The following is a 21,369-nucleotide window of genomic DNA, read 5'->3' on the forward strand; positions in this document are numbered from 1 at the left end:
GTTCCCTGGACTGGCTGCTTTTCCATCAGGAGGTAAATCTGCAAAGAAAAGGTCTAACTGGGGCTGATTCTTAAGGAGAAACCTTAAGTGCATGAGGCAGAGAAGGCTGAGGGCAGAGGTTCCTCACTTATCATCATGAACGAGGAACAAGGAGTTCAGCGGATGTCAGCCAGCATTGACTGACATCTCTACCTTCTCTACCTGTGGGGCTTGCTCTCACTTTTTGGAACTCCAATTAGGAGAAAGGAGCTCTCATTTCTGTTCTGCTTTGTATTAAATATTTTCTCTGTGACATTGGCCAAGTCATCTCTACCTTTGGACCTACGGTCGTTATTTGTAAAGCAAGTATGTTGGGTATGTTATGGTATCTCCATACCTGGGCTGTTATTACTTTGCTGGAGATACCATAACAAAAGACTGGGTGACTTAAACAACAGAAACTTATTTTCTCACAGTTCTGGAGGCTAGAAGTTCAAGACCAAGGTATCAGCAGGGTTGGTTTCTTCTGAGGCCTCTGTCCTTGGTAGTAGACGGCCATCTTCTCCTTGTGTCCTCACATGGTCTTCCCTCTGTGTGTGTCTGTGTTCTAACTACCTCTTATTATAAAAACACCAGTCATTTTGGGTTAGGGGCCACCCTAATAATCTCATCTTACCTTAATGACCTCTTTAAATACCCTGTCACCAAATATACTCACATTCTGAAGTGCTATGGGTTAGGATTTCATCATATACATTTAGAGGCAGAGGGGACAAGATTCATTCCATAACAGACCAGATCAGCGTTTCCCAAGGTATGTGCTCCTGTGGTGGTGGGACTGACTTCATATCAAACACAGAAACAGGTCTTGAGGAATAATCAATCTTTCTGATTACATGAGGAAGAAAGTGTTTGATTTAGTACTAATGTGTCTTTAATTCCTTTCTGATACCTACCAGAGCACATGGTGAGTGGGCCTCAGACACAGAGCTTTGGCAGGCAACCATATCTGTACAAGTTACCTATTGCTGCATAACAGTTACCCTCAAACTTAGTGGCTTCAACCAATACACAGTTATTATACCCCAGTTTATATGGGTCAGGAAGTCAGAAGCAACTTGGCTGGCTGGTTCTGGTTCATGGTTGTATTAGTCAGTTCTAACACTGCTGATAAAGACATACCTGAGACAGTGTAATTTATAAAGAAAAAGAGGTTTAATGGACTCACAGTTCCACATGGCTGGGGAGGCCTCACAATCATGGCAGAAGGCAAAAGGCACATCTTACATGGCAGCAGGCAAGATAGAATGAGAACCAACTGAAAGGCGACACCCTTTATAAAACCATCAGATCTCGTGAGACTTATTTGCTACCACGAGAACAGTATGGGGGAAACTGCCCCCATGATTCAGTTATCTCCCACTGGGTCCCTCCCACAACATGTGGGAATTATGGGAGCTACAATCAAAGATGAGATTTGGGTGGGAACACAGCCAAACCATATCAATGGTCTCTTATGAGATTGCAGTGATCTAAAGGCTTGTCTGGGACTAGTGGATCCACCTTTCAGGTGGCTCTAGTAAGTGTTGGCTGTTGGGGGAGCCCTCAGCTCCTTATCATATGGGCCTCTGTACAGACTGCTTGAGTATCCTCACAACATGGCTGGCTTCCTCCAGAACGGGCATTGGAGAAAGCAGGAGAGCAAGGAAAAGGTGTGATGTCTTTTATGTCCTAGTGTTGGAAATCATATGCCATCAATTTCATAGTATCCTACAGGGAGACTGTGGAATGAATAGAGCACAGGTCAGCCCTATTCATTGTGGGAGGGAACAACACAAGGATATGAATACCAGAAGGCAAGGATCACTGAGGGCCATCTCAGGCTGGTACACTAGAAATTAAGAGTTTTATTTCCCGATTAACTATTTTTCTCATTACCTTATCTATATATGCGTGCACAAATATATTTGTACATATATATACATATATGTATATGCATAATTTGGATATACAAATTATATTTGTACTACAAATATAATTTCATATAGCATATTATTAGCATTTCATGCACTTTTAATTTACACTTGTGATATGCTATGTCTATTATCTATTATTGTATAACTTTTTTCACTCAATAATATGTTCTTTTTTTTTTTTTTTTTTTATCTTTTTGCCCAGGCTGGAGTGCAATGACGCAATCTCGGCTCACTGCAACCTCCGCCTCCCGGGTTCAAGTGATTCTCCTGCCTCAGCCTCCCAAGTAGCTGGGATTACAGGCATGCACCACCACGCCTGTCTAATTTTGTATTTTTAGTAGAGATGGGGTTTCTCTATGTTGGTCAGGCTGGTCTTGAACTCCCAACCTCAGGTGATCTGCCCACCTTGGCCTCCCAAAGTGCTGGGATTATAGGCGTGAGCCACCGCGCCCAGCCGATAATATGTTCTTGAGATCTATCTGCATTGATATAAACAGATCTGTCCATTGCTTTAAATTATATAAGGATTAGTAAGTATTAGGTTGGTGCAAAAGTTATTGCAATTTTTAACATTACTTTCAATGGCAAAAGCCACTATTACGTTTGCACCAACCTAATATACGCCATTTGTATTTATCCATTCCTCTACTAATGGCCATTTAGATTATTTCCAATTTTTAGCTTTTATAACAATAATAACTGACCATCCTCTTACATGTCCTAGGATAAATAATAAGAGAAATTGCTGGGTTATAGAATACATGTATTTTATGTTTTGATAGATGGGGCCAGTTGCCCTTTAGAATAGTTATACTGATTTATACTGCCATCCACAAAGTAGGAGTGTTTCCGTTGCTCTATAATATTACTAAATCTTTTTTTTTTTTTTGAGATGGAGTCTGGCTCTGTTGCCCAGGCTGAAGTGCAGTGGCACAATCTCAGCTCACTCCAACCTCCGCCTCCCTGGTTCCAGAGATTCTCCTGCCTCAGCCTCCCGAGTAGCTGGGATTACAGGCACCTGCCACCACAACCGGCTAATTTTTGTATTTTTAGTACAGATGGGGTTTCACCATGTTGGCAGGGCTGGTACTGAACCTCTGACCTCAAGTGATCTACCCACCTTGGCCTCCCAAAGCGCTGGGATTACAGGTGCAAGCCACCGCACCCGGCCTATTACTAACTCCATATTGCCAGATATTTTTATTTTTGCCAATCTGATAGGTAGAAAAATGGTATCTCTGGCTGGGCACAGTGAGTCATGCCTATAATACCAGCGCTTTGGGAGACCAAAGGAGGAGAATCACTTGAACCCAGGAGTTCGAGACCAGCCTGGGCAAGATAGCAAGACCCCATCTCTACAAAAACTTTAAAAACAAATAAAATGAAATAAAATTAGCTGAGCATGGTGGTACACACCTGTAGTCCCAACTACTCAGGAGGTTGAGGCATGAAGATCTTGTGAGCCCAGGAATTTGAGGTTGCAGTGAGCCATGATGACACTGCTGCACTCCTGCCTGGGCAACAGAGCAAAACACTGCCAAGGAAGGAAGGAAGGAGTGGGGGGCGGGGAGAGGAGGGGAGGGGAGGATTTTAAATTGTGGTAAAAACACATAATATAAAATTTACCATCTTGGCCTTTTTTAAGTGTTCAGTTTCATAGTGTGAACTATACTCACATTGTTATCCAGCAGATCTCTAGAACTTTTTCATCTTGCAAAACTGAAAGTCTATACAAATTGAACAACTCTCCATTTCCTCCTAACCCTAGCCCCCGGCAACCGCAATTATTTCTGTTCTCTGAGTTTGACTTCTTTAGATACCTCATATAAGTGGAATCATACAGTATTTGTCTTTTTATGTCTGGCTCATTTCACTCAGCATAATGTTCATCCGTGTTGTAGCATCTCGTTTTCTGAGGCTGAATAACATCCATCATATGTATCTACCACATTTTCTTTATTCATGTATCCATCAATAGACATTTGGGTTGTTTCCATCTCTTGGCTATTGTGAATAATGCTGCTATGAACATGAGTATATAAATTTTAGTTTTTGCCAGGCGTGGTGGCTGACACCTGTAATCCCAGCACTTTGGGAGGTCGGGGCGGGCAGATCACCTCATGTCAGGAGTTTGAGACTAGCCTGGCCAACATGGAGAAACCCCGTCTCTACTAAAAATACAAAATTAGCCAGGCGTGGTGGCACATGCCTGTAATCCCATCTACTTGGGAGGCTGAGGCAGGAGAATAGCTTGAATCCAGGAGGCGGAGGTTGCAGAGAGCCAAGATTGCGCCATTGCACTCGAGCCTGGGCAACAAGAGCTAAACTCTGTCTCAAAAAAAATAAAATAAAATTTAGTTCTTTGGGGTATATATCCAGAAGTGGGTCTGCTGGATCACATGGTAATTCTATTTTTAATTTTTTGAGGAAACTCCATACTGTTTTCCATGATGCTGACCCATCTTGTATTCCCACCAACAGTGCACAAGGGTCCTGATTTCTGCACATCCTCACCAACACGTGTTATTTTCTGGGTTGTTTGTTTGTTTTTGAGATGGAGTTGTGCTCTTGTTGCCCAGGCTGGAGTGCAATGGCGTGATCTCAGCTCACTGCAACTTTAGCCTCCTGGGTTCAAGCAATTCTCCTGCCTCAGCCTCCCAAGTAGCTGGGATTACAGGCACCCGCCACCACGCCGGGCTAAGTTTGTATTTTTAGTAGAGATGGATTTTCACCACGTTGGCCAGACTAGTCTGAACTCCTGACCTCTGGTGATCCGCCCACCTGGGCCTCCTAAAGTGCTGGGACTACAGGTGTGCGCCACCGCACCTGGCCACTGGGTTTGTTTTCTTGTTTTTGATAGTGGCCATTCAACATTTTAATTTTATACCTCCATGAGAACAAGCAGGATTGGACATCTGTAGGCAATCTCACTTGAACCATGGGGAAGTTATGGTTCTGGGAAGTTAAATCAGTTGTCCCAAATCACAGGGCTCATCAGTGAATGAGCTAAATCAGAGACTTGTGTGGTTGTGTGGTTCATAAAGCATGTCCTTCCCCATAAGTTCCCTGGCCTTTAAATTTGCAGTGCTTCTTTAAGAAAAGAAAGGAAGGGGGGAAGAACAGCTCCTTGCTTCTGAATTCCTGCCTGTTACGTTTCAAACAAGGGGGGAATCTACAGAGGATTGTTGTTCTTGGACCCGTAGGCCAAGCAGCGTTTACCTCCACCTAGAAGGAAGCGGTATCCTTGCTAATACCCCAGACGGGAAATGTGTGCCCAGAAGATTAGCTCCATTGTGTGGGCCTGGATGCTTTCCACTGGCTTTGTTTATGGGACAGATTGTTTTTGCTAAGTTGTTTGCTCCGGTGAGTCTCCAAGCTCTTGAGGCCTCCTGGCCCTGGAGAGGGTCAGATTTACGGGTAGCCCGGAGCTTGGGCAGGAAAGGCCCGCAAAGGAACGGGTCCTCTGGGAGACTTCTGGAGACTGTGGGGCTCCTTGGAAAAGCAAACTTGTGGCCTCATTTTATTTTATTTTTAAAATGGGATATGCAATGGGTGTTGCACTGTTCTTCCTTCTTGACTATGGTGCTGATATTTTTGTGTTGCTGTCTACATCTTATGTCTGCTCACCTCTGCGTACTTCCATATGTGTTGCTGGGATTTGGAGGGGACTTTGGGTTTTGTTTTCCCCATTCTTTCTGCCAGAAGCATCATGCATACATGTTAACAGCACAAGCTCTCAAGCACCCATTTGTTCCAAATCAGTTAGCAGATGGGTCCTATAGAATGTGTGGTTAACACTCCCCATTCAGAGGCCACGAGGCATTTCTCCTCGGGTGGTCTCGGTGCTGTGGTCCTGTGTCTGGCATGCACTGTGGATGCCAGCTGCTAGCATGTACTCTTTCTTCATTGTTGCATCTTCCTACCCACGCACCAAGCCAACCAGACCGCCTCAACACCCTGAGGTTTATGCTATTCCCAAACCTCAAGAATCTAGGCCAGGCAGTCTGGCAAAGAAAGATATAGAAACAAGGAAGAAATATCAGGCTGCTTAGCGTCTCTGAGCCTCACCTTTTCTACCTGTACAATGGCATGATGAGGTGGCCCTAGCTCCTGAGGTTATTGAAGGAATCAAGGATATCATAGCTAAAGCACTTAGCCCAGCACCAGGTACCTGAAAGCACTCAATAAATGGCTCCTATGATCTCCTACATGCCCACCTTGGGCCGAACCTTGTGCTAGGCACACGGGGAGAGGAAATGAGACGTAATCTTGCCTCTAAGAACTCACCATCAAGTGAGAAAACCTCAATGGACAGACTAATCCATATAGTGCAGTGATAGGAGCACTCAGTAGTGACTAAACCAGACTGGGAGTATCACGGAAGTCTTCCTGGAGGAGGTGACATCTGAACTGTCACCTTATGAGACTTATGAGACTGAAAAAATGACTTCTGCCATTTAGGTGATCCCACCAAAACACGCTGGAGCCTCACATGACAACACTTGGTGTCTAAGACTCCCGTAGTCCCTAGTAAAGGCCTTGTCATTCATTCATTCAGTCAGTCAGTCAGTCAGTCAGTCTACTAAGTGTCAATAAACACCAACTGGTGACAAGATGATCCTCACCTAGGTTCTCCACAAGCATTAAAATGAGGCCTGTCTCTTTCCTGTCACCAAGCTGCCATTCAGGTCCCAGTTGGCTCTAGGTGTCTCTCATGACAGCGTCCATGGGAAGACAGTGGGGTGGAAGGCAGGGAGAGCCTTACGGTCCCATGTCTAGCATGTGACCTTTGTCATGCTATTCATGGCGCCGATCTTCATTTTACCCTCATAATCCTGGGAGGTGGCCCTTATTATTCCCATTTTAAAAGCAAGGAAATTGAGGCTCAGAGAAGGTAGGTGGTTTTCACAGTGACTTCCAGTTTGCTTGTCTGCTATAATCTGGAGAAAGTAGGAATTCTGTGTACCAGGACTAAACAGTAGCACACGCTCCCTTCACAGCTCAGCTGTGCAAAGCAAAGGTTGCTTCTGGATGTTCCATAACTGCACCAATCTTCCTCCCAAGTTTTGCCCATAAGGTCATCATTGATCTAGAGGAACTAGAACCTGCCAATGAATGATATTGCCATATTATCTTGGTTTGAGAGACTTTGTCATTTCAGATTTCCTTCCCCTCCTCTGTCTCATCAAGGTGGCATTCGGGATATATAGAAGAGAACCCAATGTTTCGGAATACTGCTCAGGAGGCCCTTGCTGACCTCTGTGACAATATGGTCCCTTGCCCCAACACTGTCCCAGCAGGCCACAGTTGCTGGGTCTACAACTGGTAGGCTCCTGGACAGCTGGTGGTCAACTTAGTCCACTCAAGGCATCTTCCCACTGACCAGCCCTACCTTGGCTCTTTCTGGTGCCAAATTTCATCTGGGGTCTGGTTGCCATGAACCTTTTGCCCCTGTCTCATTTCTCGTCACCATGTAGCTCTCAGTTTGAGAGCTACTGCACCCTTCCTACAGCAAGTTCAATCAGTCTCACTTATTATCACCATCAGCACCTTCTATAGATCCCTCCGTAGGCTACCTGGAACATTCTGGAAACTTCTGGATGCAAAATTTGAGCCCTCCCTCTGCCTAACTCTGTTGTAAGCTGATTTTAATGTTGTCTGTTTCCAGAACGTCACATGGAAAATGATGCAAAAGCTGTTCTGCTTTTGACTTTCTCCAAGCCCTAACACTCGCCTCCTAGGAGTTGTGCCTAGATCCCGACACAGCTGACCGCTTCTTGCCTTTCTCTGTCTCTTTTTCTACACTCTCCACTCCACTGGGCTGCAAGACGTTAGCCTTAAAAGTGAAGAGAGAGGTGACTCAGAGAGTGAAGCCAGCAGACAGATTAGAGAACATATATCAGCAGATATTCGAAAACCTTACCTGTTACACCACCTGCCAAGTTCTTGGGAGGGTTAAATTCAAGAATGTTTATATGTGCTGTCTGTACAAATGGGGAAAGACCAAAAGAATAGAAAGAACATAGGTTCCAGAATCCAATTGCTTGGATTCACATTCTACCTTCATCAGTTAGAAGCAATTCATGTACTCTCCAAACCTCAGTCTGCTCCACTGTAAAATGGAAATGACATTAACCTCTGTCTCACTGACTTCTGAGAAATGAATGAAATAGTACCTCTGTGTCCATCAGGGCATACGTTTGGATGCTAATAGTCAAATTGCGGTGCCTGTGCCCTCTGGTGCCACCTGAATAAAAGTGAGGTTTTTTTTGTGAAAGAGAAGAGAGAAATAGATGTTAAGTTCCTAATGAGTGGTATTGGCTGTAGTTGGTAAAGTGGTCTCAGCAGAGTGTCTAGTAAAGAATAGATACCGGAAAATATTAGCTAGTAGCAGTAGTGTTGGTCATGAACTAAGTCATGCGGGATCTGAAATTTGGGGCTGGCGTCTACTTTGTTGCAAGGCAATTAGGAAAGAAAAACTGTGGGGTCCCTTGGAATCACCCAGTGTGACCATTTCAGTTAAGGCACTACTTACTGTTTCTCTGTCAGATCCCTCTCTACATGACACATAGTAGGTTGTTGAATGAGGCCGGGTGTGGTGGTGCATGCTTATAGTCCCAGCTACTCCGGAGGCCGAGATGGGAGGAACGCTTGAGCCCAGGAAGTTGAGGTGGTAGTGATCCGTGATTGTGCCACCGCACTCCAGCCTGGGTGACAGAGTGAGACCCTGTCTCAAAAATATACATATATATTTTGTTGAATGAATGAATGAACCTCTTTGATCCCAGTGGGTTGTAGCCCATCCCCCTACAACAAATGTTGAATCTCCATCCCTATAAACTCCAATTGACCTCTGAGTGGCTTTCATTGGACACCAGTTGCAATGCACGGTTCTGTTCTTCTTCCCACGGTGCACAACAGCAAAACCTCATATTGGGTTTCATTTCCAGCATTTCTTGGCCTGCCCTTTGGAATATGCCAGGCTTTATGCACCCTACCCTTTTGTGTGTCAGCATCTCTCCCCTGCTCCACCGCCCTAAAGGTGCTAATCCTCCAGCTCACTGTAAATGGTGACTTTCTTCCAACTGCCACGATCATGTTTCTTAATCAATAGCCTGACTTGTCAGCACCAAGTAAATACAGCTTTGATTTGAGGAGAAAGAGGAAGCCAGAGAACACGGCTGCAGAAGCACACAGAGAAGGAATCCTTTCTTCCATAAATTAATTACTTCATTAAGTCAACAAATAATAGCAATTCTTTATGCAGTGATTATATACCAGGCACTGCTCTAAGTGCTATATATAATACATATTGACTCATTTAATCCTTACAATCTGTCAAGGTGTTGTGATGATCCCTATTTACATGTAAGGGAACTAGAGAACAGACAGGTTCATAGTTACTGAACTCTATCATAAGTCAGGCCCTGTGCCTAGCGGCTGGAGATGTGGTTGTGAATAAGACAGACGTGAATTCCTGCCTCATAGTGCACAGAGAATACTAAAGGGATATGGATGAAAAACAAACGGGAAATTTACATAGGAATCTCACATAGTATGTCAATTAGGGATGCTTTTGGCTGCAAGTATCAGGCAACCTCACTATAGTGGCTTAAACCCCAGGGCTTTATCTTTCTCTCCGGAGCAGAAAATGAGAGCATGCTGGTGCTGGTTCTATGGCTCAAGGATCTTCATGTGTGTGGTCTTTCCCTTATGGTCATAGGATAGCTGGACAGCTCCAGTCATCACCCTTGTAATTCAGCAGAAAGATGAAGAAAGGGAAGGGGCAGTCCCTGTAACAGGCAGTGATAGCCAATTTCTGCGTCTCTCCTGGGCCAGATGTGGGTCAGATGGCGACCTCTGCCTGGGTGGTCACTAAGGAGAAGGGCACTATATTAGTCCGTTCTTACGCTGCTGTTAAGGACATACCTGAGACTGGGTAATTTATAAAGAAATAGAGGTTTAATGGACTCACAGTTCATGTGGCTGGGGAGGCCTCACAATCATGGCAGAAGGCAAAAGGCATGTCTTACATGGCAGCAGGCAGGAGAGACTGAAAGCCAAGCAAAAGGGGAAACCCCTTATAAAACCATCAGAACTCATGAGACTTATTCACTACCATGAGAACAGTATGGGGGAACCACCCCCATGATTCAGTCATCTCCCACTGGGTCCCTCCCACAACACATGGGAATTATGGGAGCTATAATTCAAGATGAGATTCGGGTGGGGACACAGCCAAAACTTATTACTCTGCTCCCAGCCCCTCCCAAATCTCATGTCCTCACATTTTAAAACTAATCATGCCTTCCCAACCGTCCCCCAAAGTCTTAACTCATTTCAGCATTAATTCAAAAGTTCATAGTCCAAAGTCTCATCTGAGACAAGGCAAGTCCCTTCTGCCTATGAGCCTGTAAAATCAAAAGCAAGTTAATTACTGCCTAGATACAATGGGGGTACAGGCATTGGATAAATACACCCATTCCAAATGGGAGAAATTGGCCAAAATGAAGGGGCTAAATGTTCCATGCAAGTTCAAAATCCAACGGGGCAGTCAAATCTTAAAGCCCCAAAATGATCTCCTTTGACTCCATGTCTCACATCCAGGTCTCACTGATGCAAGAGGTGGGTTCCCATGGTCTTGGGCAGGCACTGATGGTGAAGGTCAGTCAGCCAACCTACAATGTCAACCACAGGAAATACAATGGAAGAAATCAAACAGGATAATGGGATAGAGGGCTCCTGGATATAAAGTGGTTGGTGGAGGTGATGTTTGAACAGAGACCTCGTGACCCAGAGCCAGCTCTGCAAAGACTTGGGACAGAGTATTCCATACAGAGGACATCACAGTGCTAAGACCCTCACTTGGAAGCAAGTGTGGTGAGGCCTTGGGAGAGAGAGAGGTCCAGGGTGGCTGGAGCCTGGGAATAATGGGCAGTGAGGCAAATCCAGACCACAGAGGAAGACACAGGGGCCAGAGTGTGCAGGGCCTTTGAGGTCCTATAAGAAGTTTGGATCTTATTCTAAGTGTGGTGGGAAGTTACTGGAAGCTTTTAATCAGGGGAATCACATGATCTGATTCATGTCTTCAAAGGAATTATTGGGGCAGAAGAGCAGTTGTGAAAGTCACAAGGTTGAGACTTAATTCTGGGTAATGATACAGCTTTTCCCAGCTCCCACCTTTTCTGCCTCTTGTACATCCACCACCCCCTTTTGATTTCAATGGAGATCCTAGAGGGCTGGACTGCGTCCTGCTCATCTGTCTCCCTGGGACCTATGCAGAGCCAGGCATGTGGCAGCACTTGGTAAACATTGGTTGGGTTGAACTGGACAGAGGCTCTACTCCAAGGTTCCCAAGCTCCTGTCAATTACACTCCACTCTTATGGTTTTTGACTATATCAGTGGCTCTTAGCTGGTTGAGTTTGCCTCCCAGGGGACATTTGGCAATGTCTGGAGCCATGTTTGGCCGTCACAACCAGAGAGAGAGAGAGCAGGGGATACTACTGGCGTCTAGTGGGTAGAGGCCAAGGATGCTGCTAAACACCCTACAGCTCATAGGACAGTCCCCACCACACAGAATTATCTGGCCCCAAGTGCCAATAGTGCTGAGGTTGAGAAAACTTGGACTAAATCTACATGCCAGTTCTATGACGTCCTTAATATTTTCCTTTCAATTAACTGACTTTTTAAATGAAAAACATTAAAGAAATCATGTATCACTCCCCTAAATAAGAAGCCAGTGTCACTTGCCATAAATAGATGATAATTGAAACATAAATACTCAGAAAACAAAACTTGATTTTATTCTAGCTGGATATTGTTACTAGTCTGAGGCTCTGAGCCTGAAGCTTGGATTCTCTTTGCTAAAAAGAGTTAGGTCAAGGTCATGAAAGACTGAGGAACTGTTCCAGATTAAATGTGAGTGAAGAAAAATGACAAATAAATGCAATATGATTGCGGATTGGATCCTGGATCAGAAAAAACTAAAATGACTGAAATGACTTCATTGAGACAATTGGCAGACTTTGAATATGGATTGTATATTGGGTAATGGCATGGTACCAATATTAAATTTGCTGAATTTGGTAACTACAGTGCGGTTATGGAAGAGAATGTCCTGTTCTTAGGAGATACATGGAGTATTTAGGATTTTTTCTTGAGACGGAGTGTCACTCTTGTTGCCAGGCTGGAGTGCAATGGCACGATCTCGGCTCACTGCAAGCTCTACCTCCCCAGTTCAAGTGATTCTCCTGCCTCAGCCTCCCGAGTAGGTGGTACTACAGGCATGTATCACCAGGCCTGGCTAATTTTTGTGTTTTTAGTAGAGACGGGGTTTCACCATATTGGCCAGGCTGGTCTCAAACTCCTGACCTCAGGTGATCCATCCGCCTCGGCCTTCCAAAGTGCTGGGATTACAGGCGTGAGCCACCACGCCTGGCCAGGAATTAAAGATCATGATATTGGCAACTGATTCTCAAGTGCTTTTTAAAAAAGTGTGTGTACATGTTGTATGCATATGTATATACACATAGACTTATAGATATGCATATACCCAGAAAGACAGACAGACAGACACACACACACACACACACAGAAATGTGGCAAAAATGTAAACAGAGGTAGAATCTAGATAAAGTGTATATAAGAGATTATTTTACAGTTCTTGCAACTTTTTCTGTAGTCTTGAATTTTTGTAAAATAGAAATTAAAAGCAAGCAAGCAAACAAATAAAAACGCTCCTAAATTTACCTCTAACATGACCAAAGTCTCAATTTTTTTCCTCTTTTTTGATACAAGGTCTCACTCTGTCACCTGGGCTGGAGTGCAGTGGTGTGATCATAGCTCACCACAGCCTTGACCTCCCAGGCTTCAGCAATTCTCCCATCTCCCTTGATGCATGCCTGTAATCCTACTACTCCACAGGCTGAGGCAGGAGGATCTCCTGAGCCCAGGAGTTTGAGTCCAGCTTAAACAGCATAGCAAGAACTCCATCTCTAAAAATTAAATTTAAAAGGATTGAAAGCAAACAGAAAGCAGAATGACTTTCTCACTGTGATTCAGTGTTTTCAGGCAAGGGTCAGTCCAGCCAGAGGCTGCTGCTAGCTCAGCAGTCAGGTCCTCCTCTTCAGTCCAATAAAATAACTAGTTTTCAGACTCGGTTTTCTCAGCTACAAAATGGAGATAACACAGCGTACTCCAGGTGCAGAATGGGGGCGGGTCTCCCTGCTCTTGGAGGTCTCGATAATACTGTCTTGACTCGCCACCTCCACCCACATTCCAGACCCAGGGAAATTCCAATGCCCTTGCAAAGATGTCATCGAATTCCTGGCACCTTACACTCTCACTGTCACCTAGGGCTCTACTTCCTCCTGTCTCGGCCGACTTATTGTTCTCCCTCTGATTCTTATGGCGATTTATTTGTCTTTACCATCACAGGAATTCAATCCTGTGCTGTGATTTCCAACACACACACAAAGACAAAGACACACACAAACACACCTGGACACACACAAACTCACAAACAGAGGCACACAGAGACAAAGACACACTGAAGCAGACAGACACAACAGTACACACAGACTCAGAGACAGAAACATTCACAGAGACAGACACAGACACACAAAGACACACACAGACACAGTCATACAGACACGTACCCATAGACATACAGACACACACGGACACACTCATATAGACACACACCATAGACGTACAGACACATACACACATAGACATTCACAGACACACAGACACATGCATACATACCTATAGGCATACAAACACACAGACACACTCATACAAATACACACAGAGAGACATACAGATGCACTCATACACACCCATGGACATACCAACACAGAAGCACTCATACAAATACACACATACACACATACAGACACAATCAAAGACATAGATACACTCATACAAATATACACCCATGGACTTAAAGACACACACAGACAGTACACTCATACAAATACACACACACACACGCATATGCACTCATACAGAACACACATTCACACACATAGATATACAAACACACTCGTATAGACACACATTCACAGACACACACACAAATACACTCATACAGAACACACATTCACAGACACACCAGGTCTGCCTATGTGGCAGACTTCACAAGGTTCAGGGGCTCTGGAAGGAGTGTTCAACGCACACTTATGAGTATTGGGTATCTTTCTTCAGAATCCCCCAAACATCCTTCCTTTCCAATCTTCTTTTATCTTGCCTCCCAAATATTCTTCTCCACCTTTTTTCTGATCAGAACAATTCATTTCTTTTCAACTCTCTGATTTTGAGCTCTCCCTGGACTTCCCTTTACATGCCTTCCCTCTCGTGAATGTGCTCTGCTGAGACCCAGACCTTCCAATCTGGTCTCTTCCTCTCACATCAAGTTTTGCAAGGGGAAAAGACCAGCAGAGAGACTGATTTCCCCATCCATGTGAAGCGCGCCACCCACCCTTACACAAGCTTAAAATGCAAAGTGGTCATACTTTGTTTTGTTATGACCATTTAGAGAGGGTTTTGCATGGGGGGGTGCTGATGTTTCCTTTGTTCTTTACGTGGTAGGATTGTTGGGAGGATTACATGAAATGAGGGAGGAGGAGTCATGGTGGCAGTGGTGGTATAGACAAGGATTGAGGATTCTATTCTTTTTTAAAAACAATTTTTATTGTTACATAATAATTGTACATATTTATGGGGTACATGTGGCATTTTGATGTGTAGAATGTGTAATGATCACATCGGGGTATTTAAAATATCCATTACCTTGAACACTTATCATTTATCTGTGCTGGGAACATTTCAAATCTTCTCTTCTAGCTATTTTGAAATATACAGGCCGGGCACAGTGGCTCACGCGTGTAATACCAGCACTTTTGGGAGGCCGAGGCAAGCGGATCACTTGAGGTCAGGAGTTTGAGACCAACCTGACCAACATGGTGAAACCCGTCTCTACTAAAAATACAAAAAATTAGCCAGGAACGGTGGCTTATGCCTGTAATCCCAGCTATTCGGCAGTATGAGGCAGGAGAATCTCTTGAAACTGGGAGGCAGAGGTTGCAGTGAGCCGAGATGGTGCCATTGCACTATAGCCTGGGCAACAAGAGCAAAACTCCATCTCAAAAAAAAAAAAAAAAGAAAGAAAGAAATATACAATAAATTGTTGTTAACCACAGTTATCCTGCTGTACTATCAAACACTTGAATTCATTCTTTCTATCTAACTTTATGTTTGTACCCATTAGCCAACCTGTCCTCATCCCCACTCCAACACTTCTGGAAACCACCATTCTACCCTCTGCCTCCATGACAGCACTTTTTTAGCTTCCACATGTAAGAACATATGATATTTGTTTTTCTGTTCCTCGCTTATTTCATTTAACATAATGGCCTCAAGTTCCATCCATGTTGCTGCAAATGCCAGGATTTCATTCTTGTTTATGGCTGACTGACATACAATGGTGTTCCATTGTATATATACATTTTTTTTTAGAGATGGGGTCTCACTACATTGCCCAGGCTGGTCTCAAACTCCTGGCCTCAAGTGATCCTCCCACGTCGACCTCCCAAAGCATTGGAATAATAGGCACAAACCACTGTGCCCAGCCCTCTGTGTGTGTGTATGTGTGTGTGTGTATAAATGGATATATGTAATATCCATTTATATCATGTATATGTACACATTTACATTTTCTTTATCCATTCATTTGTTAGACAGTTAGGTGGAATCCATATCTTGGCTATTGTGAATAGCACTGCAATAAACATTGATGTAGCCGAGGCAACATAGTGAGACCTTGACTCTACAAAAAAAATATTTTTTTAAAAAATTAGGCTGGGCACAGTGGCTCACATCTGTAATCCCAGCACTTTGGGAGGCCAAGGCGGGCATATCATGAGGTCAGGAGTTCGAGACCAGTCTGGCCAACATGGTGAAACCCTGTCTCTACTAAAAATACAAAAATTAGCCGGGCGTGGTGGCGGGCACCTGTAATCCCAGCTACTCAGGAGGCTGAGGCAGCAGAATCACTTGAAAGCGGGAGGCAGAGTTGCAGTGAGCCAAGACTGCACCACTGCACTCCAGCCTGAGTGACAGAGCAGGACTCCATCTCAAAAAAAAAAAAAAAAAATAGTTAGGTGTGGTGGAGGGCATCTGTGGTCCTAGCTACTCAAGAGGCTGAGGCAGGAGGAGCCCAGGAGTTCAAGGTTGCAGTGAGCTATGATTGTGCCACTGCATCCAGCCTGGGAGCCAGAGTGAGGCTGCCTCTAAAATAAATCAATACACACACAAGCAAACATGGGGATGCAGATATTTCTTTGATATATGGATTTCCTTTCCTTTGGATAAATACCCACTAGTGAGATTGTGAGGTCGTGTGCTAGTTCGTTTTCAGTCATTTGAGAAACCTCCTTACTGTTTGACGAGTCTATTCTAAATCAACTTATGGCCTAGTGTTCATGGTGATCTGTGCCACTGCCCTCAAACACACCAAGCTCTTTCCTGACTCAGGGCTTTGCGCGTGCTGTTCCCTCTGCTGGGGTTCTCCTTTTCCCATTCTTGACATATTTAGATCCTTTTCATTTTTTCTTTTTTAATTTTATTTTATTATTATTTTTAAGATGGAGTCTCGCTGTGTCACCCAGGCTGGAGTGCAGTGGTGCAATCTCAGCTCACTGCAACCTCTGCCTCCTGGGTTCAAGCAATTCTCCTGCCCCAGCCTCCCAAGTAGCTGGGATTACAGGCACCTGCCACCACGTCTGGCTAATTTTTGTAATTATAGTAGAGATGGAGTTTTACCATATTGGCCAGGCTGGTCTCCAATTCCTGACCTCAAGTGATCCACCGTCCTCAGCCTTCCAAAGTGCTAGGATTACAGGCATGAGCCACCATGACCGGCCCTTTTCATTCTTTAGCTCTCAGCTTCTATGTCATCACTTCAGGAATTCCTTTCCTGGCCTCCTTATTGATTTCCTTCATGGCATTTGTTACAGCTCACAATGATTTGATTTTATTTTTTGTACTTTGTTTTGGTCTATTTTCTCCCGCTAGCTAGTAAGCTCTCTGAGGACAGGAACCATGTCTGTAGGTTCACCTTTATATCCTCAGAGTCCATCATAGTACTTAATAAGCATTTATTATTGAACGAAGCTCCCCCTTAAAGTTCTCCCCCAAGGAATGGAAGCTCTGAAGGGCCTTACTTCTTATACCAGTTTTAGAACAGAGGGTTTCCAGATTCACATTGCTGCTAGAAAACCCTATCAGCAGTAAACAGGTAAACTGAGCACCTCATTAAAAAGCAAAAAACCTTTTGATCTCAAAATAATTTCAGACTTAAGGAAAAGTTGCAAAAGCAACAGCACATTCCCAAAGACCCTCCACCCAGCTTCTCCTAATATTAGCATGTTTTATAACTATAGAACAATGCAAAATGAACTGAGAAGTTAACATGGAGGCCAGGTGTGGTGGCTCATGTCTATAATCCCAGCACTTTGGGAGGCTGAGGCGGGTGGATCACCTGAGGTCAGGAGTTTGACACCAGCCTGACCAACATGGAGAAACCCCGTCTCTACTAAAAATACAAAATTAGCTGGGCATGGTGGCACATGCCTGTAATCCCAGCTACTAGGGAGGCTGAGGCAGGAGAATCACTTGAACCCGGGAAGCGGAGGTTTCCGTGAGCCGAGATTGCGCCACTGCACTCCAGCCTGGGCAACAAGAGTGAAACTCCGTCTCAAAAGAAGAAGAAGAAGAAGTAGTTAACGTGGGTACAATATTACTAACTAATCTATCGACTGTATTCAGATTTCACCAGGTTTTCCCTCTAATGACCTGTTTCTGTCCAGGAACCCACATTACATTTAGCCATCAGTTCTCCTTAGTCTCTTCCAGCCTCTGACAATTCTTCAGCCTTTTCCTTGTCTTTTATGACTTTGACACTTTTGAAAAATACTGGAGGGACATTTTGTAGATGTCCCTCCATTTGGGTTTGTCTGATGTTTTCTCATGATTAGACGGAGGTTATGGGTTTGGGAGAAGAATAATAGAGGTGAAATGCCATTCTCTTTGAATCATGTCTATCATATCAACATATCAACATGACTTATTACTAGGGATGTTAACTTCAACCACTTGATTAATGTGGTGTCTGCTGGGTTTCCTCACTATAAAGTTACCATTTTTCTTTTTGTCATTAATTAATCTCTCGGGGGAGATACTTCACGACTATCTTGTTTCTCCTCAAATGTTTGCTCACTTAAACTTTAGCAAGCATCCATGGATCTTACCTGCAGAAATTTCTACTGTGGTGTTCTAATGGTGATTTTTTTTATTTCCCTCATTGCTTCTACATTTATTAATTGTTTTGTTTGTTTTGTTTTTGAGACAGAGTCTCACTCTGTCACCCAGGCTAGAGTGCAGTGGCACAATCTCGGCTCACTGCAACCTCTGCCTCCTGGATTCAAGTAACTCTCATGCTTCAGCTTCCCAACAAGCTGGGATTACAGGTGTGCACCACCATGCCCTGGTAATTTTTGTATTTTCAGTAGAGACAGGGTTTCGTCATGTTCGCCAGGCTGGTCTTGAACTCCTGACCTCAAGGGATCCCCCCACCTCGGCTTTCCAAAATTTTGGGATTACAGCCATGAGCCACCATGCCCGGCCTATTAATTGTAATTCTTCTTAAGAAAATACTTCCCTCCTTCTTTCCTCCTTTCCTTCCTTCCTCCTTTTCTTGCTTACTCCTTTTCTTCCTTTCTTATTATTATGGACTCATGGGTATTTATTCTATGACTTATAATCCAATATTACCATTAGTTTGTTGCTCAAATTTTTCCATCTCTGGCCATGAGGAGCTCTACATCCTTCCAATAAACCCCAATTATTTTTTGAGCAATTCCCTATTTTCTGGCATCACAAGGTATTCTACAGGCATTTTGTATTTTCTCCGCTCCAGTTCTGGAAGTAACCACCTCTCCAAGGAGCCCTGGTCTCTCTTTTTTTGGAGAATGGTATTTAGAAACCAAGATCTGAGTGGTAGGTGTGCTCACTGCTAGTGGAGAATCCTTGCTGCTGGAGTCTCTCAGTGTTCAGAGCTTGAGAATATATTATGTATACCAATCCATGCATGCATGGATATATCTATCTATCTATGTATCTATCTGTCTATCTATCTATCCATCCATCTGTCCACCTATACCTATCTCTACATATTAAGAAACCTTTAGTTCATACCAATACTACTGATTTCAATTCATCATCACAGCACTCAGTCTAACATCCCTCTTTCCCCTGTTTGTAACTTTGTTTTTTAATTGAAAGACTGATGCTTAAATCCTGGTAAGCTGTAAAAATATGCTCCCTTCTCACCCTTCCTCTCATCTTTTCTCCTGTGGAAATGGTTGACATAAGGATGCAACACTGAATGCTAGATATTGCAGACAGAGGCTACAGGAAAGAGAGCTGAGCTGACATCACGGTCCTTCCTACTGCAAAAAGCACTAATTACACATTTTATACTTTATCGGCAGTGGGGGTGCAAGAGGGTCGGCCTGGGCTCTGGAATGTAAGCTCACTGTTCCAGCCAAAAAATGAGTCAGTTGAGATGGGAATGCAAATTTATTTGAGCAGTTGTGTGTCAACATATTTCCGGAAAAAAAAAATTGTGTGTGTGCCTGTTTTCTGCTCCAGCCTTCTGGAAAATACTGTCACCCGATGGCCCTCTTACTTTGGCAACAATTCTTGTTCCTGGGGGCACCTTACCTCTTGTCTTTTAACCATCTCATTGATTTCTGTCCCCTTCATCTTCCAACACACATGTTGTTCCCTTTCCTTTTCTTCTGACTTCCCATCTTTATTTTCCTTTTCACAGACCCTGTGAATTTTCACCTCCAAGCAGATCCTAGTGGAAACCTTTCATGGCTGGGTCATCAGAATCTTTTCAATACAAAAAGCCAAGCTTACATTTCCCTTTATTTTGTTGTCTGGGACTTGGTTTTTTCCTTAAGTTCCCTGTTCTTGTAATACTTTGGGTGTGGAGGAATTTTCTGTTTTTCCGTCCTTTCATAACAGTTCAGAGTTGTTCACTATGAAACCCCGAGGAATGCTTCGCTGAAAACCCAAATTTTGCCTACCACACTCTGGATATGCTAAAGATAACTAAGGCAAGGCAAGATTGGCTCACTCTGATGGCAAATGAAGTGCTTGTTATTCAAAACTAAAGAGTCCAACTCTGAGCTCCTCCTGGGAGGAAAGAAAATAAGTGTGTTCCAGGTATTATTCCTTTTAGTGTTATCAACAATTCCAGAGGCCCACGGGCCTGTTTGGGATCCTGCCATTCCCAGAGCCAGGGGTGGGGGCCACCTTCACAGTGACCTGAGCTGACCAGAAATAAACCCAGAATACCCCGGAGCAGGGAGATGTCAAGTCAGTGGGAGGGAGAGCCTACGGAGAGCCCGTATTTTCTTAGCTGTATCCAGGAAGCCTGGATGGAATGGGCTTGGCAGGCACCAACTTCCTGGGGAGCCAACTGGGCAGCTTCCCGGGGGTGCCAGGAGTGCAAAATCACCACTGGGGCACTGAACCATCATAAGACAATGAAGAACTCATTTCGCGAATTCCAAGAACACTATCCGTTCTCGGAAGGAATCTTTAGCAAAGTCACTTAGGGTTGGCGGGAAGGGAGGGAGGATGTGGTGAGTAATCATAAGAATAACTACAAGTAGCTACAAGGGCATGCTCCATAGCTTTAATAATAAAAAGAAGGCAACAATAATAGAAATAATGAAGGCAGCTGGAATTTAGTCCAATTCTTCCTCATGAGCCGGGCAATGTACCCAAGTTTGTTGTACACATCAATCTCATTGAATTCTCACAACGACTGTGTGAGGTAGGTACTGTCTCAGATGTGTCATTTCACATCTGGGAAACAGGTCAAGAAGAATGAAATATGGTGCTTGTAGCTGCAAAACTACAAAGTGGCAAAGACTGGATCAGAACTCTCAACTTGCTTTCTTAAGTATTCTTCTGTGTGGTCTTACTGGAAGGGCTTTTCTTTAAACTAAAACATATTTATTTATTTATTTTTTATTTGTATTTGTTTTTTTTTTTTTTTTTTTTTTTTGAGACGGAGTCTCGCTCTGTCGCCCAGGCTGGAGTGCAGTGGTGAGATTTCAGCTCACTGCAACCTCTGCCTCCTGGATTCAAGAGATTCTCGTGCCTTAGCCTCCCGAGTAGCTGGGATTATGGGTGCGTGCCACCACGCCCAGCTAATTTTTTCTATTTGTAGTAGAGACAGGGTTTTGCCATGTTGGCCAGGCTGGTCTCGAACTCCTGGCCTCAAGTGATCCGCCTGCCTCGGCCTCCCAAAGTGCTGGGATTACAGGCATGAGC

General features: G+C 44.0%; 1 protein-coding gene across 1 annotated transcript in view, besides 1 other annotated feature; it reads left to right on the forward strand.

The window, feature by feature from the left end:
* The window catches only part of MRTFB (myocardin related transcription factor B), a 272,006-nt gene that overhangs the window by 42,863 nt on the left and 207,774 nt on the right, over positions 1-21,369 (forward strand). The gene's annotated exons all lie outside the window — the stretch shown is intronic.
* Positions 13,030-13,642: an enhancer, noted in NCBI's record as "H3K27ac hESC enhancer chr16:14144523-14145135 (GRCh37/hg19 assembly coordinates)". NCBI's record gives its function as "activates a minimal SCP1, AML or CMV promoter by ChIP-STARR-seq in naive H9 embryonic stem cells {active_cell/tissue: H9 hESC(naive)}" and the evidence as "EXISTENCE:reporter gene assay evidence [ECO:0000049][PMID:30033119]".

The sequence above is a fragment of the Homo sapiens genome, chromosome 16, assembly GCF_000001405.40.
Source record: "Homo sapiens chromosome 16, GRCh38.p14 Primary Assembly".
Classification (NCBI taxonomy): Eukaryota; Metazoa; Chordata; class Mammalia; order Primates; family Hominidae; genus Homo; species Homo sapiens.